The sequence below is a fragment of the Homo sapiens genome, chromosome 15 (assembly GCF_000001405.40).
Source record: "Homo sapiens chromosome 15, GRCh38.p14 Primary Assembly".
NCBI lineage: Eukaryota > Metazoa > Chordata > Mammalia > Primates > Hominidae > Homo > Homo sapiens.
This window is the reverse complement of record NC_000015.10, coordinates 75,346,996-75,369,042: the sequence shown is the minus strand read 5'-3', so window position 1 is coordinate 75,369,042 and position 22,047 is coordinate 75,346,996. Positions and strand designations below refer to the sequence as shown.

Genomic DNA, 22,047 nt, shown 5'->3' with positions numbered 1-22,047 from the left:
TCTCCGTCCGGTATGAAAACACCTATTCCGGGTAGTCTGGCTCCACGTTAAGCAAACACCACTTTCCGTGTTCACCGACAGCTAGAGCCAGAGGTCTCCCGGTTGCTGCTTCTGAGGCTGGGTCTGCAGCAGCTGAGGCTCCCGCCTGTCTTGCCGAATGGCCTAAGTCTCTGTCTTGAGACTTTCGAGAGTTCTAATCGTCAAATTTCCCATTTTATTTTGAGATTTTCCCTGCGGCCCACTATTTCGGACAACATAGGAGAGCCTCAAAAACAGTTTCTAGCTTCCAACTCGGCTCAAAGTTCAGACAGCAGCTGGGCTTCCGAGAGCCGCCGGTGTTCCAAGAAAAGCTGCCCGGGACTGGGAGGCGCCCTCTGGACGCCGGAACCTTTGGTTTCCTGCCGTGGAGCGGAACGGTAGCGCCAGGGGCCTTCCGGAAAGAGGAGCGAGAGCCCGGCGATGGCGGCTGCGCCGGCCTTGAAGCACTGGCGCACCACGCTGGAGCGGGTGGAGAAGTTCGTGTCGCCGCTCTACTTTACCGACTGTAACCTCCGCGGCAGGTGTGGCCCCTGGTCCCCCGCAGCCGGCCGACCGCAACCGTGCGCCTCAAGCTTTCCTTCCGGGGAGAAACCTAAGCTGCAGCCACCCGGGCCGCGGGACAAAGTGCCCGCCGCGGGCAGGGCAGGGGCCGGGGAGGAGGGGGTAGGGAATGGACTGTGCCGCGGAGCGGCCAGGCAGCCCTCTTGGCGGAGGATCCAGGGAAAGTGCGGCCCCACCGGCCAGCTGGCCCCCAGGCGGAAACGGGGCGGCCTCCAGCATGTGCCCACCGGCCCGTCCCACGCAGGCTTTTTGGGGCCAGCTGCCCTGTGGCTGTGCTCTCCAGCTTCCTGACGCCGGAGAGACTTCCCTACCAGGAGGCAGTCCAGCGGGACTTCCGCCCCGCGCAGGTCGGCGACAGCTTCGGACCCACGTAGGTAACGCCCAGCGGGTGGGCGGGGCCACAGGCCTAGGGGAAGTCCCAACCCAGCTCCCAGCCACACCTTCGTTGTCTGCCCTCTGCCGTAGACAACTACGTGGGATCGAGCAGCACCCTCTGCTGGGAGCAGCACCCTCTGCTGGGAACAGCTCTCTGGTCCCTGGGTCTTCAGGGGATGGTTTTCATTCCCACGTGGCCGCCTCTGGACATCCCTTAGGAAGGGCACCCTAGGGATCACGAACCTTTGACGCCTCTGCCTGTTTCCCTCATCTTGCTTCTCACCTTGTTGCTCCTTTCTTGTGACTCAAAGCTGAGTACCTTGTGACACTGCAGATGCTTGGAGAGTTTCAAGCCCCTGCCGACACTTTATCCAAGGAAGGATATCAGGATAGGACTTCTACCTCTAGGCCTATCACAACAGCTCTCTTGCAGATGGTGGACCTGCTGGTTCCGGGTGGAGCTGACCATCCCAGAGGCATGGGTGGGCCAGGAAGTTCACCTTTGCTGGGAAAGTGATGGAGAAGGTCTGGTGTGGCGTGATGGAGAACCTGTCCAGGTGAGGAACCCTGTCCTAGGGCCAGGTATGGCCACATTTCAGCCCTGAAATGACTACAGCCCTTCTTCTGTGGACTCTGGAGAAGCCACAGCTGAGTTGCTCTGCCCACAGGGTGGTATCAGGATTTCAGGACTAGGGAAGTTGCCACTTGGGCATCTGTGCAATTGGTCCTTAGTTTTTATTGTGTATAATACAAACTTATAGGAAAACATTTCAAACAGTTCTAGATAAAGTAATGGATCTCTCCTTATCACCCATCCCATTCCCCAGCTATAACCACTGTTAAGTGTCTTATTCATGCTCCACCCTTATCAGGTTTAGTCCTTATACTCCTATCTAGTAGGTCTTTATACCCATTTACAAATTAAGAAACAGATGTGTAGTTGACTCACTCAGGTTCACACAGCTTCTATTTCAAATTGGACTGACTCTCAATCTGGGGTTAAGACTGTTCTTCCTGGCTACAAGAAGGCAGAGACCATCCCTTCCTCCCTTCACTGGCTCAGCAAATATCTCCTGGTGTCCATTCTGGGCCATACCCTTAAGCACTAGGGTGTAGCAGGGAATGAGGCAAACCTGCCCCTGACTTCACGGAGTTTCTTTCCCGGTATTTATTTAGGGGTGCAGAGGCCACCAGAATCCACACTCAGGCTGCCTAACCCCTTCCCAGGGCCCTTCCCATAAGACCATGGGTTTGCCACTGGTAAACAGGGGCTATTTGACGGTCATGGTGCTGGCTGCCATGGGAGTTGGGGCATCTACTGCCAAGGGTCCCTGATTTGCCAATCTTGGCCCTGCTTGGGAGAGAGGACCCAGAGCTGGGAACCAGATGGAGGGGCCTGACTCCCCATGGCTTACACTTTACCTGAACTGTCCAAAAGCCTCAAGCCTTGTCTCTCTCACTCCCCTCCCTACTAGGGTTTAACCAAAGAGGGTGAGAAGACCAGCTATGTCCTGACTGACAGGCTGGGGGAAAGAGACCCCCGAAGGTGAGTCCCTGTGCCCTGGTTGACCAGTGCTGTCAGGGAGGGAGTACCAGTGAGCAAGGAGGAGCTGAGGCCCAGAGTGATCTCATAAGCCCGCCTCTGCTCTAGCACAATCATCCTCACATCTCATTGTTTGCTTTTAAAAGCATGATTTTTTCCTAACCATAAAAATAATGGGCTGGGTGCAGTGACCCACACTACCCTGGGAGGCTGAGTGGGAGGATCACCTGAGCCCAGGAGGATGAGGCTGCAGTGAGCCATGATCACACCGCTGCACTGCAGCCTGGGCAACAGAGTGAGACCTTGTCTCAAAAATAATAGCAATGTTTGCCTGTGGTAAATACAGGAAAGCACAAAGAAGTAAATAACTACCGTTATTCCACTCCCTAGAATAGAGATGAACATTATTAACATCTCAGCATTCATGTTCTTTTTTTTGAGACGAAGTCTCCCTCTGTCGCCGATGCTGGAGTACAGTAGCACGATCGCAGCTCACTGTACCTTCTGCCTCCCAGGTTCAAGCGATTCTCATGCCTCAGCTTCCCGAGTAGCAGGGATTACAGGTGTGTGCCACCACGTCCAGCTATTTTTTTTTTATTTTTGGTAGAGAAAGGGTTTCACCGTGTTGGCCAGGCTACTCTCAAATTCTTGACCTCAGGTTATCCGCCCCTCTCAGCTTCCCAAAATGCTGGAATTACAGGCGTGAGCCACCGCACCTGGCCCAGTATTCATGTTCTTGGTGTATCTTTCCGGCATAGTTTTTTTTGTTTTTTCGGGGGGGTTTTTTTGGATTTTTTTGAGACGGAGTTTCGCTTTTGTTACCCAGGCTGGAGTGCAATGGCACGATCTCGGCTCACTGCGACCGCCGCCTCCCAGGTTCAAGCAATTCTCCTGCCTCAGCCTCCCTACTAGCTGAGATTACAGGTGCCCACCACCATGCCCAGCTAATTTTTTGTATTTTTAGTAGAGACGGGGTTTGACTCTGTTGGCCAGGCTGGTCTCAAACTGCTGACCTCAGGCTATCCACTTGCCTGAGTCTCCCAAAGTGCTGGGATTACAGGAATGAGCCACCGTGCCCGGCTCATCCCGGTATAGTTTTTACTAGTTAAGATTGTATCCTGACTTCTTACATTCCATGTTATAACATGGACATTTTATGACACCATTAAAAACACTTCTTAGACATTATGAATGTATTTTATATAGATTGACACTGTTTCAGATGCTTTCAGACACTGGGAGTATGGTGGTGAATAAAATAGCCCTTGCCAACAAAGGGAGACAGATTCACTCATATAATTACAAAACTGAGGGCTCTGGAAGGAAATCCTGGGTACTCCACTGAGGAATTTGCTCTAGACTTAGCAGCGAAGTGGAGTCAGGAAGGCCTCCCTAAGGAAGTCGTGTTTGCTCTCTGAAGCCTAAGTATGGCATCACCACAGCCCAGCCTGTTCTCCAATGAATGGCCCGCCCATGTTGGCCGTGTTGGTTTTAGATCTTGGGTCTAAAAGTTTGAGCCTGGGAGATCCGAACATGATTTTAATATGCAAAGAGGGTTCCAAGACCAAGGCAGTGCTTTGCAAAGACAACTTTGGAAATATAAGACTAAACAGCAGCGTACTTTACATGGTTCCAAACTTTGCTACTTATTCTCTCTGACAGCAAGACATGGGATCCATCTGGTGTTTGTACCACAACCCTCCCACATGCACTCTTGTCACACTGTGGGATCCTCTGGGTAGTGGATCCTGGAAGCAGACAGGTTGGGCTCAGCTGGATGCCTCCTGGGTGCCCCTTCCCCAAGTCCCCGGAGTACTGTGCCAGTCCCTTAGCCTGAGGCTGTCTCCCCATCTTTGTAGCCTCACTCTCTATGTGGAAGTAGCCTGCAATGGGCTCCTGGGGGCCGGGAAGGGAAGCATGATTGCAGCCCCTGACCCTGAGAAGATGTTCCAGCTGAGCCGGGCTGAGCTAGCTGTGTTCCACCGGGATGTCCACATGCTCCTGGTGGATCTGGAGCTGCTGCTGGGCATAGCCAAGGTACTTGACACCCCCTGTACCCCCTGCTACCCTCTAGAGCCCTGCTCCAAGAAGGTTGTTCTTTGGGTCAGATAAATGGGACTCTGGGAATCCAGAGTAGGACGAGGGTTTCCACCTGCTTGAGGGTTGAGAGAATTTTCCTATGTGAAGGGGAGGAGGGAGACGGTGCTGAGCAGGGGGACCAGCAGGGAAAAAGGGTTGGGGGTCAGGGGAGCTCTGCTGAGAGCCCTGAGATCAGTGGAGCCTAGGTCTGGAAGCTGTGCTTGAAAAAGGGATTAAGGGGCAGAACCCTGCTGCAGGGCCTCGGGAAGGACAACCAGCGCAGCTTCCAGGCCCTGTACACAGCCAATCAGATGGTGAACGTGTGTGACCCTGCCCAGCCCGAGACCTTCCCAGTGGCCCAGGCCCTGGCCTCCAGGTTCTTTGGCCAACATGGGGGTGAAAGCCAACACACCATTCATGCCACAGGGCACTGCCACATTGATACAGGTAGGACAGCAGCTGGTTGGGCTGGCTGGGGAAGCAGGAGTGCCCTTGAAGACCTGGATGTGCCCTAGAAGCACTGTGTGATGCTCAGCAAGTTCTTGCTCCTCTTGGACCTGCGTTTTCCCCGTCTGTAAAACGGGGCCGGGGGGCTGGACTGTGGGCTCTGCTTGCTTTGGATTCACTTTTTTTTTTTTTGAGACGGAGTCTCACTCTTGTCACCCAGGGTGGAGTGCAATGGTGTGATCTCGGCTCACTGCAACCTCTGCCTCCCGGGTTCAGGCGATTCTCTTGCCTCAGCCTCCTTAGTAGCTGGGATTACAGGCACCCACCACAATGCCTGGTTAATTTTTGTATTTTTAGTAGAGACGGGGTTTCACCACGTTGGCCAGGCTGGTCTCAAACTCCTGACCTCAGGTGATCCGCCTGCCTTGGCCTCCCAAAGTGCTGGGATTACAGGCATGACCCACCGTGCCCAGCCTCATTTATTCTTTCAACAAAATCTGATGCCTCATGGGGCCCATGCTAGATATTGAGGGTAGGATTACAGAGACAGATTCAGCAGGCAGAGTTGGTGTCACAATGGTGGGGAGTCTGAGGCACTGGAGAGCACAGGAGAGGTACTTACTCCAGCTGGGTTGGGGGATTCCAGAGAGGCTTCCTGGACAAGTTTGCAGTGTCTGAGTTTTACGGGAAATCCACATTTTTAACAAGCTCCTGAAGGTATTGATTCTGATGCAGCCGAAGTTTTGGGATCACAGAACAAGGGCTTTCTCTGCTGTGCCAAGATGTAGGGTAAGGTGTGAGAGGTTCTGGGCTGGTAAGGGAGGAACTGCAGCCTGGGAGTCAGGAGAGGCTGTAGCACCTCTGGTAGGACAGCTGGCTCCATCCTGGGAGCCATGCCTCTGTTCCCAGGTATACATCAAGTTTGTGCAGGGGCAGGGTAGTCCCTGCTACTTCTCGTAGGATCCTCTAGGGGATGTCTAATTCCCCAAGAGGACTGAGGCTATTCTGGGGCCTGGAGCCTCCATTTCCTGACCTGTATAATTGGCCTCATAGCACTGCCGCCTCCTTTCCCCAGCCCCTCCTCCCACCTCGCTGGAGTGAAGTGAAGTGACCACTTAGGAGGGACACCACAGGGCTTTCCAGGGTGAAGGGCCTGGGATGGGAGGGGGGCTAGGTGACCCTCTGGAGTCCCAGCCCAGGCCTGGTCAGCCTTGCTGCTCCCTCTGTCCTCCACCTCACTCCCCGTATAGCCTGGCTTTGGCCCTTCAAAGAGACTGTGAGGAAATGTGCCCGGAGCTGGGTGACCGCCCTGCAGCTCATGGAGCGGAACCCTGAGTTCATCTTTGCCTGCTCCCAGGTCAGAGGGACAGCTGTGAGGGAGGAGGGAAGCACGTGGCCCTCCCTGGAGCTCCACAGGCCCTGAAGGCTTCCCAGGCCTGGGGTCAGGGCTGCTCCTCACCCTCAGCCACACACTGAGTCCCATATGCTCAGTCCTGGGTGGGGCCCTTGTCACTCTGGTCCCAGCTCCCTTCAACCTGCCCACAGGCGCAGCAGCTGGAATGGGTGAAGAGCCGCTACCCTGGCCTGTACTCCCGCATCCAGGAGTTTGCGTGCCGTGGGCAGTTTGTGCCTGTGGGGGGCACCTGGGTGGAGATGGTAAGTGCACTGGGCACTCCTCAGCCTTGAACTGTATGACAACAGCCTTCCCTCAGGTAGCCCCGCCCTCCCGGCTTTGCTGGTGAGTTTCCACGGGCCACTCATCCCCGCTGTGTGGCAGGGCTGGCTCATTAGTCCCTGGGATCTCAAGGCCTGGGACTTCAAGGGGGAGGAGAGCCTCCAGCGCTGTGACAAGTTGCATGGCCTAGTCCTGGGCACCCCCTCAGGCAGATGGACAGTCAGGCCTGAAGGACAGGGGCCCTTCCTGAGTTCTGGCTGTAACTCCCATGTTTGAGCAGCCCTGGCTTCTCCTGCAGGGATTGGGTTGGCCTGAGCGCCTGCCTGCTCCCCGTCCAGCGCTGACCTGGGCTGCCTCCCACTTCCTTCACTGCCAGGATGGGAACCTGCCCAGTGGAGAGGCCATGGTGAGGCAGTTTTTGCAGGGCCAGAACTTCTTTCTGCAGGAGTTTGGGAAGATGTGCTCTGAGGTAGGCTGAGAGCTGCTACACCAGGCTGTGGGCGAGTGGGGCTGGCGCTCGACTTGGAGTGCTGAGGGGCTGAGGCTGGGGTGAGTCCGCCTGGAGCTCTGGTTCCTGCACTCCAGGATCCTCTTTCTCCACAGTTCTGGCTGCCGGACACCTTTGGCTACTCAGCACAGCTCCCCCAGATCATGCACGGCTGTGGCATCAGGCGCTTTCTCACCCAGAAATTGAGCTGGAATTTGGTGAACTCCTTCCCAGTAAGCAGGCCCCCGGGGGGTCAGGGTCAGAGTGGGCCTCAGTCCCGCCTGGCCCATTTGCCTCTCCCCCTTATTGTGGGGTCCTAGACAGACCACCAAACCCTCACTCTGCCTCTGCCAGGGTCACATAGCAGGCAGGGGCAGGACCAAGTCTGGAAGGCCTGGCTCTGCCTCAGCCCTGACTCTGGCCTCTCTGCCCTGCTTCTGTTTCCCTGCTGGTAGCACCATACATTTTTCTGGGAGGGCCTGGATGGCTCCCGTGTACTGGTCCACTTCCCACCTGGCGACTCCTATGGGATGCAGGGCAGCGTGGAGGAGGTGAGGGGTCACCTAGGGTGGTGGGGTAGGGGCAGGCTGGAGAGGGCTGGCTTGTTCCAGGCTGATCCATGCTGGCCTGCCCTCACCTGTCTAGGTGCTGAAGACCGTGGCCAACAACCGGGACAAGGGGCGGGCCAACCACAGTGCCTTCCTCTTTGGCTTTGGGGATGGGGGTGGTGGCCCCACCCAGACCATGCTGGACCGCCTGAAGCGCCTGAGCAATACGGATGGGCTGCCCAGGTCAGGCCAGGCCTTGGCTCTCCTTTAGCCCCACCCTGGGCCCTTGCCATGAGCCCTGCCTTCCCTCAGACATTGGGCCCAACCCCTCCTCTGGACCTTGTCCTGTCCCAATCCTAGACCACGGGTTCCTCCAAACTTCCACCCTGGGGGTGGGTGGGGGAGAAGCTGAAGCTGGTAAGGGCTCCAGCCCATCAGAGAGAGAGGCTCTCCTAGGGCGTCCAGGGCTGGCCATCTGTGAACGGGGAGCTTTCTGGAGTGGCTCCTCTCTGTAGGAGCTGGATCCTTTGCTTTGGTGTGGAAGAAGGGTGAGCCATGTGGTCTCCAAGGCTGGGAGACCTAGGCTTGTGGTCTCCTCAGGGTGCAGCTATCTTCTCCAAGACAGCTCTTCTCAGCACTGGAGAGTGACTCAGAGCAGCTGTGCACGTGGGTTGGGGAGCTCTTCTTGGAGCTGCACAATGGCACATACACCACCCATGCCCAGGTCAGGGGGAGGTTGCAGGGCTGTGCAGGGAGGGTGTGCCCTTGATCTGCAGAGGGTCAGAGAAGGCAGCAGGGGACAGAGCCCAGGCCAGATCTAGGGGAAGAGAAGTTTGGAGGAGAGAAGTTCAAGACCTGGGTTGGTCAAGAAAGCTTGAAGGAGGCAGAAACCCCTGAAGAAAGAAGGGTTTGGGCTGCGGGGAGAAGAGGGAAGGCATTTAAGGCAGGTCACCCGCCAGAGGCCTTCTCCACGAGGCCCTTGGTGAGTCCTCAGGGATTCTGAGCAAGGGAGGGCTTTGGAAGGTGTCCTGGGACAGCTAAGCAGGCTCCAGACTAATCTTCCCATCCTGGGCTCAGATCAAGAAGGGGAACCGGGAATGTGAGCGGATCCTGCACGACGTGGAGCTGCTCAGTAGCCTGGCCCTGGCCCGCAGTGCCCAGTTCCTATACCCAGCAGCCCAGCTGCAGCACCTCTGGAGGTCAGCCCAGTTCTGTCCCTGCCATCCACCTGACTGCTCACTGCAGTTACCTCTGTGCCTGCCCCTCCCAGCCTTCCCATCCCTGCCCTTGGCCCCTGCAGGCTCCTTCTTCTGAACCAGTTCCATGATGTGGTGACTGGAAGCTGCATCCAGATGGTGGCAGAGGAAGCCATGTGCCATTATGAAGGTTAGGCTCACAATAGTCCTGCCTGCTCTCTCCAACCCCAGGGCTGAGCCCAGAGTGTCCCCTGTGGGATACCCATGGGCACATTCCAGACCTGTTGCCCACCTATGACCAGCCAGTCTTTCCTCAGACATCCGTTCCCATGGCAATACACTGCTCAGCGCTGCAGCCGCAGCCCTGTGTGCTGGGGAGCCAGGTCCTGAGGGCCTCCTCATCGTCAACACACTGCCCTGGAAGCGGATCGAAGTGATGGCCCTGCCCAAACCGGGCGGGGCCCACAGCCTAGGTACGAGCTGAGGGGAAGGGTTGCTACTGCAGCAGGAAGGATGGAGGCCAGACAGATCAGGCCTGGGATACCCCGAGGGATCTGGGTGCCCCTGACTGGAGAGTAGTAGCACATCTTCCACCAACCCATCCCCACCTGCGCAAGCTTCCTGAAAGGTCAGGAAGGCTGCACTGATGCCCAGGCCTCACCCCCAGCCCTGGTGACAGTGCCCAGCATGGGCTATGCTCCTGTTCCTCCCCCCACCTCACTGCAGCCCCTGCTGCCCCAGCAGCCTGTGTTCGTAGTGCAAGAGGTGAGTCCTGCATGCCCTGGGGGGCAGGAACTGTGCTGGGATACTTTCTTACAACTGAGGGTCCTGAGCTCCCCTGTCTGGAGCAAGTGGTGAGGCGGGGCTGGGGTTGGGGTGGGAAGACTTTTGGTGTGGGAAGCCCCTACAGACTCAGCCTCAAGGCCTCCTCCCACAAAGACTGATGGCTCCGTGACTCTGGACAATGGCATCATCCGAGTGAAGCTGGACCCAACTGGTCGCCTGACGTCCTTGGTCCTGGTGGCCTCTGGCAGGTGCCAAATCCTCATTGCCCTTTCCCAGTGCCTGGCAAGTAGACCCCAGGCCATTTCCTCTCTCCCCTTGCCACAACACTGCCCACAGCAGCCCACCAGTGGCTCTGGGCTGGAACCCACACATGGAGCAGGGCAGGCTGGGCAGTAGTCCCCTGTCCACTGGGTCTACTCACTCCACCCTACCCCACCAAGAGCAGCTGGAGACAGCGAGGTCAGTTGGTTGTACAGCACCAATCCCATGTCCTTCCAGGGAGGCCATTGCTGAGGGCGCCGTGGGGAACCAGTTTGTGCTATTTGATGATGTCCCCTTGTACTGGGATGCATGGGACGTCATGGACTACCACCTGGAGACACGGTATAGGCTGGGCAGCATGTGGGGATGGTGGAGGTGGTGGGAACACAGGCTGCTCTGGATCAGTATGTCCACCCCTGTCCCATAGGAAGCCTGTGCTGGGCCAGGCAGGGACCCTGGCAGTGGGCACCGAGGGCGGCCTGCGGGGCAGCGCCTGGTTCTTGCTACAGATCAGCCCCAACAGTCGGCTTAGCCAGGAGGTTGTGCTGGACGTTGGCTGCCCCTATGTCCGCTTCCACACCGAGGTAGTCGGGGGGTAGGGGGTGGCTGTTTTCCCCAAGTGTGCTTGGTAAGGAGGGGCCAGCCCCAGGCCTTGGTGTGTCTCTTCCTTCCCTGACTCCCACCCTCCTTCCCACTCCCAGGTACACTGGCATGAGGCCCACAAGTTCCTGAAGGTGGAGTTCCCTGCTCGCGTGCGGAGTTCCCAGGCCACCTATGAGATCCAGTTTGGGCACCTGCAGCGACCTACCCACTACAATACCTCTTGGGACTGGGCTCGATTTGAGGTCTGACATGGCAGGGTGGGAGTGGCCTTGGACTCCTCCCTGGCTGGGGAGACTGCTTGTGTGGAACAGGCTGGGGAGGAAGAGGATAATCAACATTTGCTGCTTCCTAACGTGTGTGCCAGGCATTGCACTAAATGCTTTACATTGGCAAGGCACAGTGGCTCACGCCTGTAATTCCAGCACTTTGGGAGGCCGAGGTGGGTGGATCACCTGAGGTCAGGAGTTCAAGACCAGCCTGGCCAACATGGTGAAACGCCATCTCTACTAAAAATACAAAAATTGGGCCGGGCGTGGTGACTCACGCCTGTAATCCCAGCAGTTTGGGAGGCTGAGGTGGGTGGATCACGAGGTCAAGAGATCGAGACCATCCTGGCTAACACGATGAAACCCTGTCTCTACTAAAAATACAAAAATTTAGCCGGGTGTGGTGGTGGGCGCCTGTAGTCCCAGCTACTTGGGAGGCTGAGGCAGGAGAATGGCGTGAATCTGGGAGGCAGAGCTTGCAGTGAGCCAAGATCGTGCCACTGCACTCCAGCCTGGGCGACAGAGCGAGACTCTGTCTCAAAAAAAAAAAAAAAAAAAATACAAAAATTGGCCAGGCGCAGTGTTCTCAGGCCTATAATCCCAGCACTTTGGAAGGCCGAGGTGGGCGGATCACGAGGTCAAGAGATCGAGACCATCATAGACAACATGGTGAACCCCCATCTCTACTAAAAATACAGAAAAATTAGCCAGGCGTGGTGGCACATGTCCTGTTATCCCAGCTACTCGGGAGGCTGAGGCAGGAGAATCGCTTGAACCCTTTAGGCGGAGGTTGCAGTGAGCTGAGATTGTGCCACTGCACTCCAGCCTGGCAACAGAGTGAGACTCCATCTCAAAAAAAAAAAAAAAGCCGGGCGTGGTGGCACATGTCCTGTTATCCCAGCTACTTGGGAGGCTGAGGCAGGAGAATCACTTGAATCCTGGAGGGCGGAGGTTGCAGTGAGCCGAGATCAAGCCACTGCACTCCAGCCTGGGTGACAGACTGAGATCCTGTGTGAAAAAAACAAAGTTTTACATTTAATTTGATACTCATGATCATTCGATGGGGTGAGTACTATTATTTATTCCCGTTTCACAGATAAGGAAACTGAGGCTTAGGCAGGTTGGGTGGCATGCCCAGGGCCCCGTACAGTGGGAGCTGGAGTTCAGTTGTGTGGTTCTAGAGCTTGTGCTCGGCCTAGTGACAGGAGCTCTGGAGTCTGGGAGCACAAAGAGGGGCACAGGGCCACCAAGTGGGTCTTGGATCTGCCCTCCAGGTGTGGGCCCATCGCTGGATGGATCTGTCAGAACACGGCTTTGGGCTGGCCCTGCTCAACGACTGCAAGTATGGCGCGTCAGTGCGAGGCAGCATCCTCAGCCTCTCGCTGTAAGTGGGGTACCCACCAGGCCTGGGAGCTGGCATGGAGAAATGGGTCTTCCCGACCACAACTCCAACAGCTTCAGCGTGGCCCCTACGCGCCCTCCTCACCCCAGCTTGCGGGCGCCTAAAGCCCCGGACGCTACTGCTGACACGGGGCGCCACGAGTTCACCTATGCACTGATGCCGCACAAGGGTGAGTGCTGGGGACGGTGGGGCCTTCCTGCAGCCCTAGACACCTCTCTGCCCTTCCCTGAGCCCAAACCCCAGCAACCTGGCTTCCTGCCCCTTCTAGGGACAGGGGAGGGTAGCCCCCATTCTCCACCAGCATTGTTTCCTGGTCGTACCCCAGGCTCTTTCCAGGATGCTGGCGTTATCCAAGCTGCCTACAGCCTAAACTTCCCCCTGTTGGCTCTGCCAGCCCCCAGCCCAGCGCCCGCCACCTCCTGGAGTGCGTTTTCCGTGTCTTCACCCGCGGTCGTATTGGAGACCGTCAAGCAGGCAAGGGGTGGGACGTGCTGGGGACGGGGTTCCGAACTGGGCCTGCCCTCGGCCCCTCCCACCAGACGTGTTCCTCTGCAGGCGGAGAGCAGCCCCCAGCGCCGCTCGCTGGTCCTGAGGCTGTATGAGGCCCACGGCAGCCACGTGGACTGCTGGCTGCACTTGTCGCTGCCGGTTCAGGAGGCCATCCTGTGAGTGGCGGTGTGGGATTGGGGCGGGGGTCGAGTCTCGCCCTCGCAGAGCCTTCATGGCCCCTCCTGTTCTCCAGCTGCGATCTCTTGGAGCGACCAGACCCTGCTGGCCACTTGACCCTTCGGGACAACCGCCTGAAGCTCACCTTTTCTCCCTTCCAAGTGCTGTCCCTGTTGCTCGTGCTTCAGCCTCCGCCACACTGAGTCCCTGGGGCTGGGGTTTTGTTTGTAGAAGGCTCTGGGGACTCCTAATTTCTGCTTCCCCAGCCTAAAGCAGGGATCAGTCTTTTCTTGTGGAATAAATCCTTGGATCGGGAACCCTGCTGCTCAGTCCCCTTAGGGCCCATCCTCACGCTTGGGGTGGGGGTGGGAAGTCTGGGGTGGGATGGCTTCCCAGGTATTTGGTGGGTAGGGGCAAGATCCTAAGGTACCTGTGCGTGCAGGGTCTGGGTTGCAGCCCCCACAGGAGAGACTGGGGACCTCGAGCCACCAAAAGCCAGTGAAGAGACCATGAGTTGAGAAGCCCCTCCCCTGTGCCAGCAGGTAAAGGGCCTGGGCCTGGGGCTGGGGAGGGGCCGAAGGGTGGGTTTTGCCTGGCTCCTGCCAGGATGAGGGGGCAGCCCTGGACCCTGGAGAATCTGGACTGGAGGAGCTCTGGCTCCTGGGCTGCCTGGGGCCAGGGTCTTTGTACCACCTCTGAGGGGCTGTCCTTGCAGAGGCAAACTGTCCTCTGATAGAGTCAGAGCCTTGAGGACTGGGATGGGGGCTCAGTTTGCCTTGTGAGGAGCTGGGCCTTCTGTCACCAGGACCGGACAGCAGGCCCTTCCTACCTGGCCATCTCAGACCAAGAGGTGCCAAGAAGTTCAAATGTATCAGTTTATTAAAAATGCAGCATTTTTCACATGAGCTTTAAAGATGTGGAAGATGGGGTACAATTAAAACCATGAGAGTTGTGCAGGGAACAGCCGTAGGGCCTGTTTGCACCTTCAGATATTGCCTGCTCCCAAAAATTCAGACCCCCAGATGCAGGGCAAGACAATAAGAAAGGGTGAGTGCAAGCAAGGAGAGCCTCCTGCTAAGAGGCTGAGGTCCCCTCTGGTTCCAAGGATGGGATGTCAGCCTTGACCTTCCGGGGTCTGCAGTGGCCTGGGGGAAGAACAGGCAAGATGGTCAGCTAAGACTCCAGGGGCTGCCATGGCAGCCTTTCTCCCACCTTTGTACACGCGCTCCTAGGCCACCATCCCATCCTCTCCTGTAGAGCCAGTTTCTGGGAGTGATGAGGAAAGCCCACCAGAGGCTGCCTGTCGCCCCTTCCTCCTCCCCTTCTTGGGCACTGTGGGAGCTTCTGGGTCCTGCTGGAGGCTGGTCCCCTCAGGCCGCTGGGTTGCAGTCCTCTTAGGAAGGTCTCTCTTTGCCCTTCGTGTCCTGGAAGGGGCCTTGCTTGGAGGCAAAGCGTCCTGGATGGAGGAGACACGGGTCCCTGAGGGGCTCAGAAAGCAGTTCAGAGGTTGGTTAGGGCCCACCACTCCCCCCGCCCTCTTAGGGTAAGGCAGCTGCCTGGGAGGGGCAGCCAGGGCTGCAGAGTGCAGGGGAGGAGGCGGGAGCAGGCAGCCATACCTCCACTCTGTCCTCAGGACTCAGCTGTGTGGCCTTGGATTTCTTTTTGCGGGACTTGCGCCCTGCAGGACACTGGTGTTGGAGTTGGAGGGTCCTATCCTGCCCAGGGGTGACTCCCAGGGTTGCAGGGGGATAGGGTGGAGAAGGGTGCTGTAGCCCTTGCAGGCGTGAAGTCCTTTCTGCTCTCTTAGCCTATTACATTAGGAGTAGCTTACCTTTGGGTGCCAACGGTCCAGGATCCCCCTAAAATGGGATGGGGATAATTCAGGAATCAGCCTGGGTTGGCACAGGGGCGGTATTCCTTGGAGAGGCAGGACTCACACACACCCATCCAGATCAGTGTAGCTTCTCCCTTAGGAAGCCTCTAGGACATCCCCCATGTTAGAGTCCACATCAGCAAAGCTGCTCTGCCCTTGGCTACTTTCACTTGGGCTACCTGCCTTGGGCTACTTCCACTAGCTGCAACCCTGGGACGCATGGGAGGGGAGGGGTGTGACCCTCAGGAACAGTGTGGTCCTTGGAGGGTCTAGACAGACCCTGAGCATCACCACCCCAGTTATTGTGACCCCACGTTTCCACCCATCAGCCTCCTGGGGTCTCTGCCTGTGTGAACAGTAGGGCCCAACCTGGAACCAGATGGTACGGCCATGCCGGTCCTGCAGGGAGCTCATGCCTGGCATGCCATAGCAGCGCAGCCAGGCTCGAAAGGCAGCAAAGTCCTCCTCCCCGCTCTCTGACCCGTAGCCTTTGCCCCCTGTGGGACAGAGGAACAGGCAGAGATCAGAGGGCAGGCTCAGGTTGGGAGGAGTGGGGAGCCTGGTTAGACCTGGCCCAGACCTCAGCTACACAAGCTGATGGACTGAGTCAGGGGCCACACTCTCCCTCCTCTGGTGATGTGACCTCAGCTGGTTTCTTCCCACTCGGCCATGGGTTTCCCATCCTGGAGTGGGATTAAGAATCCTTGTCCTGGCCCTGTGCAGTGGCCACACCTGTAATCCCGACACTTTGGGAAGCTTAGATGGGAGAATCCCTAGGGGCCAGGAGTTCAATACCAGCCTGGGCAACATAGGGAGACCCTGTCTCTACAAAAAAAATTTTTAACAATTAGCCCGGTGTGGTGGTGTGAGCCTGTAGTCCTAGCTACTTAGAGGCAGATGTGGGAGGATCACTTGAGCCCAGTTTGAGGCTAGTCCAGGCAACATGGCAAGATCCTATCTCTACCAAAAATATATATAAACGTGCGTGTGTGTGTGTGTGTGTGTGTGTGTATAAATATATAAAAGAATCCTTGTCCTGCCTGTCTCATGGGCAGCTTGGAGGAAACACTGTTTTTTTGTTTTTTTTTTTTTTGAGATGGAGTTTTGCTCTTGTTGCCCAGGCTGGAGTGCAATGGCACGATCTCAGCTCAACTGCAACCTCCACCTCCTGGGTTTAAGCGATTTTCCTGCCTCATCCTCCCGAGTAGCTGAGATTACAGGTGCCCACCACCACACCTGGCTAATTTTTTGCATTTTTAGTAGAGATGGGGTTTCACCATGTTGGCCAGGATGGTCTCGAACTCCTGACCTCAGGTGAGCCACCCCACTCGGCCTCCCGAAGTGCTGGGATTACAGGCATGAGCCACTGCGCCCAGCCTGGAAACACTATTGACAAGTGAGGAGGCCTAGTCCATTGAGTATCAGCTAGGGCTACAAACTTCCAAATCGGTGAATCAGGTCCAGAGAGGGACAAGTGCCCCAGGGTTACACAATCATTTGCTGAAGCAGAGGTTGCTGCCATCTTTGGCCTCACCCAACTGGACCACTTCCTTGGGCACTGAGTGACATAGCTCCAGCAGGTCTGGATTCTGCAGCTTGGTCCTTATCTTCTGGCTCAGGGTCAGCTCCGGGCTCTGAGGAAGGGGCAGGGGCAGGACCTGTCTGTCAGCAGGGCCATGTAAAGGCAGCTGACCTTCTCTCTGAGCTTGGTCAGACTTTGGGCAGTTCATCCCCTCCCCACCCCTGTTGTTGAGCTAAGCTGGGGACACCTGACCCCACCCATCTCCTTGCCGGCCCATGTGGACACCAGTGTGCCAGCACGTGTGCTCCATCCCTCTCTGGGCTTACCGGCCTGTGCTGCTGCAGGGCCTCCAGGACCGAGCGGGCCTTCTCAAAGGGGGGGATCTTCAGCCTGTAGTGGGGGCAAGGCAAGCCATGCTAGGCAGTGGGGAATGTGGGCACACCTGGCCCACCGCAGTCCCCATGCCCATGCCTGCTTGCTGACCGGTACAGGATCTCTGCCCGCAGATAGTTGCCAATGCCATTGAAGAACCTCTGGTCCAGGAGGGCCTCGCAGATGGGCCGGTCAAAGGCCTTATCCGCTAGGTTTCGTAGCACATTCTCCCTGGAGGAACACGGTCTGGGTGCGTAAGACCCATCCCCACCCTCCATGGGATGGGGAGAGGGGCTCAGAGAACCTGTTTCTGGGTGCAAGGGGAAGGAAACTGGGAGTTACAGTTCCTCTTCTCCCTGCCCCCGTTTTCCTATCTGTTAAATGGGAACATCAAGGGATTTAAATTCATTGTGAAAGGACGGCCAGGTGCAGTGGCTCATGCCTGTAATCTCAGCACTTTGGGAGGCCGAGGCGGGCAGATCACTTGAGGTCAGGAGGTCGAGACCAGCCTGGCCAACATGGTGAAACCCTGTCTCTACTAAAAATTCAAAATTAGCCAGGCATGATGGTGGGTGCCTGTAATCCCAGCTACTTGGGAGGCCTGAAGCAGCAGAATCTCTGGAACCTGGGAGGTGGAGGTTGCAGTGAGCTGAGATCGCAGCATTGCACTCCAGCCTGGGCCACAGAGCGAGACTCCATCTCAAAAAATAAAAACAAAATTAAAAATAAATTCATTGTGAAAGGTGAAAAATACTGATCTAAAGTAACTTGAGGCTGGTGTGGTGGCTCACACCTGTAATCCCAGCATTCTGGGAAGCTGAAGCAGGAGGATCACTTCAGCCCAGGAGACCAGCCTGGGCAACAAGGAAGACCCCATCTCTACCAAAAATTTAAGAAGTAGCCAGGGGCTTAGTGATGCACTCCTGTGGTTCCAGTTAATCAGGAGGTTGAGGTGAGAGAATCACCTGAGCCCTGGAGGTTAAGGCTGCAATGAGCTGTGATGGCGCCACTGTACTCTAGCCTAGGCAACAGAGCGAGACCCTGTCTCAAAAAAAAAAAAAAAAAAAGCAACATGAGGTTGTATATGAGGTTGTGTGTTTATCACCTCAGACTCCTCAGGACATGAGAACAGTGTGGCCACAGGACCTCAAGTGTGTTTGCAGTCTGGAGCTCCCTGTATAGCATTTGTGGTGGGTTAGAGACCATATGTGGGTTTGCCATTGGTAGGGTCCATTCTTCTCAAGATCCTGGACATTGTCTGGCTCTGTGCAGGAGATATGTGGAGTACCAGTGAGGGCCCTAGCAGCCCCCACCCCACCTCCAAGGGTCATGGGTCTCCCCTCCTCACCGTGAAGAGGATGTGCATCTTGTTTCTTTGCGGAAAAGGGTCATGGCAAGACTGACTAATGGGTGTGATGAGTGGGTCAGAAGACAGAGTTCTGGGGTGAAGGTACAAGGGTAGCCTGGGAGGTGCCCTGATCCCTGAGGTAAGCCAATTGCCACACGCCCCAGCTGGGGGACTAAGAAAACAGCCCAAATGCTCGTGGTTTGAGAGAAACTTCAGAGCCAGCTGGCAGAGTTAACTTGTGGCGTGACTCCCCAGGAAGGCTGAGGTGGGAGGAATCCAGGACCAAAGACAGATGTTTCCCTGGGGATGTGCTTGGAGTTCACACAGGGGAAGGCCAGGAGTCAACTTTCTTCTAAGGCACCAGAGACATCTCCAACCCATCCCACAGGTATCCAAGTCTCCTAAGGGTCAACGGACGCACAGCATCCCCCAGAAAGGGAGAACTTGCCAACCCTACTCCAGGCCTCTGCATTTGTGACTCTTGCCAGTTCCAATGCCTTCCTCTGGCTGGCTCCTTCTCATCAGTCAGGCCTCAGCTCAAACCTCCCTAGAGTGGCCATTGCTAATGTACCCCCACCCTCGGCCAAGTCATCCTCTACCTCCTTCACCTGTTGGGTTTTCCTAAGGCATGGGTCCATTTCTCATTCCCCTATCCTATGTGAACATCAGTTCTGTGGGAGCAGGGACCACATTCATCTTGTTCACTGCTGTACCCCGAGCCCCTAGAACAAGGCCTGGCATGAAGCAGAGACTCATACACGTTTCCTCTTCAGAGGAAAGGAAGTGGCCAACACTGTGCCATGTGAGGTGACCTGCATCACATCCCAGGTGGGGCTGTTACACCCTACTGCAGGCAGGGAAGTGGCGCAGAGGAGACCACAGGACACAGAATACTGGGCAGGCCGGATGTGGGAGACCACAAAGCCCAAGGCGGAAGCCATGTCATGAGATAGTCCCCTCCCCATCCCCTTGAAACAATTCCGCTCAGCCTCACTTACCATATTAAAGCCCCTCCACCTTCTTAGCCTCCTGGGAGCCCTGAGAGGTGGTGTGGGATTGTGGGTGGGAGCCCCAGCTTCTCTGACACTAACTGGCCACATGTCCTCAGGGCAGTACCTACCCATCCTCCTCTTGGCTCTCCTCTCTCCTCCCCCATCAGTTATTATTATCATTATTTTTTGAGACAGAGTCGTGCTCTGTTGCCCAGACTGGAGTGGAATGGTGCTGTCTCAGCTCACTGCAACCCCGGCCTCACCGGCTCAAGCGCTTTTCCTGCCTCAGCCTCCCAAGTAGCTGGGGTTACAGGCATGTGCCACCATGCCCGGCTAATTTTTGTATTTTCAGTAGAGACAGGGTTTCACCATACTGGCCAGGCTGGTCTCGAACTCCTGACCTCGTGATCTGCCCGCCTCGGCTTCCCAAAGTGCTGGGATTTACAGACTTGAGCCACCACACCCGGCCCCCAATTAGTTTTGAGTTTCCATGCCCACTGGCTCAGGGAGCTGACCCAGGACAGGTATACTGTCTTGATCTGCAGATGAGAGAACTGAGGCCCAGAAGGGGCAGGGACTCGCCCCTTGTTGGCCAAGAAGGCACTAAGAGAGTCAGGTGTGGAGCCCGCGACTATGTTCATCACACCTGGTGCTGGCCCTACCTGAACTGCTGGTACTCCTGCAAGACACAGGGCCCGCGGCCCGGCTGCCACTTTCCCCCAAGGTCCCAGCGGCCGAACCGGCGGATGTCCACGAAACATAGGGCGAGCCGGGGGCCAGGCGGGGCCGTGTAAAAGCGCAGGTGGGCATGGCGTGGCAGCTCCTCGCGGGGCACCAGCTGAAAAGAGCCGGACATGCCGAAGCGGAAGACCAGGGCCAGTGGCTCCTGTTGGGGCTGGGCCCCAGGCAGAGGGCTCAGTATCAGGCGCAGCTCCTTGCCGCGGGCTGAAGCTGAGATGCGGTAGGCACTGCTCTCAAAGGGCACCTCAGGGTTGCGGCTGACAGAGGACTTCTCCACGCAGCCGCCGAACACCAGCGCCCTGCAGGCCTCATTCACAAACTGGCTGGCCAGGTGCAGCTCGGGGCCCTCAGGCATCCTGAGGGAGGGTGGCAGAGTCCTGTTGGGGAGGAAGGCAGCGGGTTGAGCCCGGTGTGGACTTTGTGAGGTAGCGGCTGTCAGCCCCATTTTTAGAGGAGAACTCGGAGGGTCAGATGGGCATGTGGCCAGCTGCGGCTGGCAGGAAAGTGCGGGCCTGGCCACGGCCCTCAATCCCCTACCCGGACAGGTGCCTGGAAAGCCCAGGGCGCTGGGAGCTGGGGCTGCAGAGGGAGCAGGACTCTGCCTTGCTGCTAACCGCTTCCTTCCATGGGCTTCCACCGCGTTTAGACGAAAGTCCCAATCCTTGCGGGGCCGCGGCTGCAGCCTTACTTCTTCCCGGCTCCCCTCACTCACGGATCTCATCTCCGCCTTGGCCCCTGCTGTCCCTCTGTCCCAGACACTTGAGGGAGACTTCCTGACCCCCCATCTGAGGGAGCACCCCCTCCGCACACGCTGTCTCTTTCTCCAGGCTCTCCCACCATCTGAAAGGGTCTTAGGATCGCGTGGCCGCCCCTCCCTGCGCCCCCCTCCCCCCACACTTAGGACCCGCCTGGATCTGGCCGCTCACCACCGAGGGAAAGAGCGAAGCTCGGCCTGGCGCGGGGGAGCGGCGGGAGCGGCCGAATCGGCCGCTTGGCCGCAGCGAGAACCGGGCCTGCCCCACGGACCGGACATCCCCGCGGCCGCCCCCGGGTCAGGGCAGGGGCCAGGACGAGGCGGGCGGGCTGCCGCCATGCGCTGGAGCCGCTCCCCATGGCTCCGCAGGAGGACGGCGGGCACCAGGAAGGGCTCCCCGAGCTCCTGCCCCGGGCCTGGGGGAGGGAAAGGGCCCGCGGCAGCGCCTGGTCCCTGGGGTGGGGGGTATCGACTCCTCACCTCCGCCCTCCCTGCTTTGCCACTTGCCTCTGTCCCCGGGCGGTTCGGAATCGGAGGCGAAGGTGTGCCTTAAGTGGAAGGGGGCACTTAGCGACGGCAGACGCCCGTACCTTGCCCCCTCCACACCTGGGAGCCGCCCCTGGCCTGGCACCCACAGGGCTCGTTTTGCGGGAGAACGTGAGGCTCCAAATCCTAGTTTTGGGGAGGAGCGGCGCTCTCGGGCCCGTCCTCCCCATGCCCCCGCTGCGACCCTGTCCTCGGTTAATCCTGACTCCCCTCCTCCTCAGGGCCCCCCAAAGCTCATCTTCTCCTTAGCCCTACAGCGCACCCCCCACAACCCGATCCTGCACGCCCCCTCCCCGGGAACCCGCACTCCGTTCCGCTCGTCGCCACTGCAGCCACTAAAGGGTTAACGCCAGAACGGGCGGTGCCCGGGAGCGCGCTGGGAGCCGCTGGGAGGTGTAGTCCCTCAGGGAAGCGGTCGCGATTCTTCGGGGTGGGGTCCCCGAGCTTGGGGGGTTCCAGGCTTTGGGGCAGGCTTCGGGGCAGTTACCTGGCTGGGAGGTGGCGGAAGAACCTGACTTCCCACTGCCTGGCGCCGGCGAGATGCGGGGGCAGGTCTGAGGCCCCGGGTCGCCGCTGTCTCTGCGGTTGGGGGAAGTCACCCAGCTAGCGTGGGACAGGGTCGGCACCCCCAGCAGGAAACAGCAGCGACGAGCCAGAGCGGAGTCGCCTGCAGCTGCGCGCAGGACGTGCACAGGTGCGCGGTACGCACAGGCCCTAGGGACCCGGTGGGGATCTTAAGCACCAACGAACAGTCAGACCTAACTCATAAACAAACATCATCACGGCCTGCCCTGTCAGAAGCGCAGCCAAGCAACAACAACAACAAAAAAAGGCGAGGAGGTAGACCCACTTGAGATGGTTCTGTTGCGGAGAGTCTCTGAAATCAGAAAGCGCCAGTCCGCAAAAACGAGGAAACCCGACGTGTCCGGCGGAAGGAACCGCCAGTACAAAGGCCCTGAGGCGAG

The 22,047-nt window shown here is 57.6% G+C and overlaps 2 protein-coding genes and 1 non-coding gene across 10 annotated transcripts, besides 7 other annotated features; 2 read left to right on the top strand and 1 right to left on the bottom strand.

Annotated features, from left to right (window-relative positions):
* Positions 131–663: an enhancer, noted in NCBI's record as "NANOG-H3K27ac-H3K4me1 hESC enhancer chr15:75660721-75661253 (GRCh37/hg19 assembly coordinates)". NCBI's record gives its function as "activates a minimal SCP1, AML or CMV promoter by ChIP-STARR-seq in primed H9 embryonic stem cells {active_cell/tissue: H9 hESC(primed)}" and the evidence as "EXISTENCE:reporter gene assay evidence [ECO:0000049][PMID:30033119]".
* Positions 240–559: an enhancer, noted in NCBI's record as "active region_9851". NCBI's record gives its function as "activates an Ori minimal core promoter by ATAC-STARR-seq in GM12878 lymphoblastoid cells {active_cell/tissue: GM12878}" and the evidence as "EXISTENCE:reporter gene assay evidence [ECO:0000049][PMID:35858748]".
* Positions 261–555: an enhancer, noted in NCBI's record as "tiled region #58; HepG2 Activating DNase unmatched - State 1:Tss, and K562 Activating DNase unmatched - State 1:Tss". NCBI's record gives its function as "activates a minimal TATA promoter and a strong SV40 promoter by Sharpr-MPRA in HepG2 and K562 cells {active_cell/tissue: HepG2 | K562}" and the evidence as "EXISTENCE:reporter gene assay evidence [ECO:0000049][PMID:27701403]".
* On the top strand, positions 436–13,251 carry MAN2C1 (mannosidase alpha class 2C member 1). Of its 4 annotated transcripts, none has more exons than NM_001256495.2 (26): positions 436–560; positions 845–970; positions 1,409–1,532; positions 2,451–2,521; positions 4,378–4,555; positions 4,855–5,044; positions 6,295–6,401; positions 6,590–6,700; positions 7,096–7,188; positions 7,323–7,439; positions 7,662–7,757; positions 7,852–7,997; positions 8,355–8,478; positions 8,832–8,953; positions 9,055–9,140; positions 9,268–9,423; positions 9,618–9,715; positions 9,890–9,984; positions 10,235–10,339; positions 10,425–10,581; positions 10,699–10,842; positions 12,141–12,250; positions 12,358–12,437; positions 12,663–12,742; positions 12,824–12,933; positions 13,011–13,251. In NM_001256495.2, the coding sequence occupies exons 1-26, from the start codon at positions 460–462 to the stop codon at positions 13,135–13,137; spliced, it is 3,054 nt and encodes a 1,017-aa protein (NP_001243424.1). In that variant the 5' UTR covers positions 436–459; the 3' UTR covers positions 13,138–13,251. The 4 variants fall into 4 exon arrangements, with proteins under 4 accessions (NP_001243424.1, NP_006706.2, NP_001243423.1 ...); NM_006715.4 differs by having other exon boundaries at positions 12,594–12,742; NM_001256494.2 differs by having other exon boundaries at positions 9,605–9,715; positions 9,852–9,984; positions 12,594–12,742.
* Positions 690–769: a silencer, noted in NCBI's record as "silent region_6667". NCBI's record gives its function as "represses an Ori minimal core promoter by ATAC-STARR-seq in GM12878 lymphoblastoid cells {active_cell/tissue: GM12878}" and the evidence as "EXISTENCE:reporter gene assay evidence [ECO:0000049][PMID:35858748]".
* NEIL1 (nei like DNA glycosylase 1) lies at positions 11,928–22,004 on the bottom strand. Of its 5 annotated transcripts, none has more exons than NR_046311.2 (11): positions 21,044–21,208; positions 20,397–20,622; positions 19,704–20,159; positions 16,813–16,932; positions 16,656–16,719; positions 16,342–16,441; positions 15,177–15,304; positions 14,766–14,793; positions 14,551–14,612; positions 14,225–14,390; positions 11,928–14,079 (listed from the first exon to the last, which is right to left on the bottom strand). NR_046311.2 is itself a non-coding variant. In NM_001352520.2 (11 exons), exons 2-11 carry the CDS (start codon positions 20,135–20,137, stop codon positions 14,009–14,011), a joined length of 867 nt encoding a protein of 288 aa, NP_001339449.1. In that variant the 5' UTR covers positions 20,138–20,159; positions 21,570–22,004; the 3' UTR covers positions 11,928–14,008. The 5 variants fall into 5 exon arrangements, 4 of the variants coding, with proteins under 4 accessions (NP_001339449.1, NP_078884.2, NP_001243481.1 ...); NM_001352520.2 differs by lacking the exons at positions 20,397–20,622; positions 21,044–21,208 and adding an exon at positions 21,570–22,004 and having other exon boundaries at positions 19,704–19,720; positions 20,027–20,159; NM_024608.4 differs by lacking the exons at positions 20,397–20,622; positions 21,044–21,208 and adding an exon at positions 21,570–22,004.
* Positions 12,621–12,915: an enhancer, noted in NCBI's record as "tiled region #1822; HepG2 Activating non-DNase unmatched - State 18:Pol2". NCBI's record gives its function as "activates a minimal TATA promoter and a strong SV40 promoter by Sharpr-MPRA in HepG2 cells {active_cell/tissue: HepG2}" and the evidence as "EXISTENCE:reporter gene assay evidence [ECO:0000049][PMID:27701403]".
* On the top strand, positions 15,358–15,432 carry MIR631 (microRNA 631). Its single transcript, NR_030360.1, has one exon. It is a non-coding gene; the product is annotated as a microRNA 631 (primary transcript).
* Positions 19,201–19,250: an enhancer, noted in NCBI's record as "active region_9850". NCBI's record gives its function as "activates an Ori minimal core promoter by ATAC-STARR-seq in GM12878 lymphoblastoid cells {active_cell/tissue: GM12878}" and the evidence as "EXISTENCE:reporter gene assay evidence [ECO:0000049][PMID:35858748]".
* Positions 20,793–20,982: a silencer, noted in NCBI's record as "silent region_6666". NCBI's record gives its function as "represses an Ori minimal core promoter by ATAC-STARR-seq in GM12878 lymphoblastoid cells {active_cell/tissue: GM12878}" and the evidence as "EXISTENCE:reporter gene assay evidence [ECO:0000049][PMID:35858748]".
* Positions 22,005–22,047: the final 43 nt, after the last annotated feature.

What these genes read in the sequence shown, in the direction of transcription:
- NEIL1 (NM_001256552.1), bottom strand. Translation starts at nt 21,252, where the DNA reads ATGGGGAGGACGGGCCCGAGAGCGCCGCTCCTCCCCAAAACTAGGATT. An exon ending in CGGGCAGAGATCCTGTACCG is followed by an intron (nt 16,720 to 16,812) that starts GTCAGCAAGCAG and finishes CCCCCACTACAG; the next exon opens with GCTGAAGATCCCCCCCTTTG. An exon ending in GCCGTACCATCTGGTTCCAG is followed by an intron (nt 14,794 to 15,176) that starts GTTGGGCCCTAC and finishes ATCCCATTTTAG; the next exon opens with GGGGATCCTGGACCGTTGGC.
- MAN2C1 (NM_001256494.2), top strand. Translation starts at nt 460, where the DNA reads ATGGCGGCTGCGCCGGCCTTGAAGCACTGGCGCACCACGCTGGAGCGG. An exon ending in GGGGAAAGAGACCCCCGAAG is followed by an intron (nt 2,522 to 4,377) that starts GTGAGTCCCTGT and finishes CCATCTTTGTAG; the next exon opens with CCTCACTCTCTATGTGGAAG. An exon ending in TGCTGCTGGGCATAGCCAAG is followed by an intron (nt 4,556 to 4,854) that starts GTACTTGACACC and finishes ACCCTGCTGCAG; the next exon opens with GGCCTCGGGAAGGACAACCA.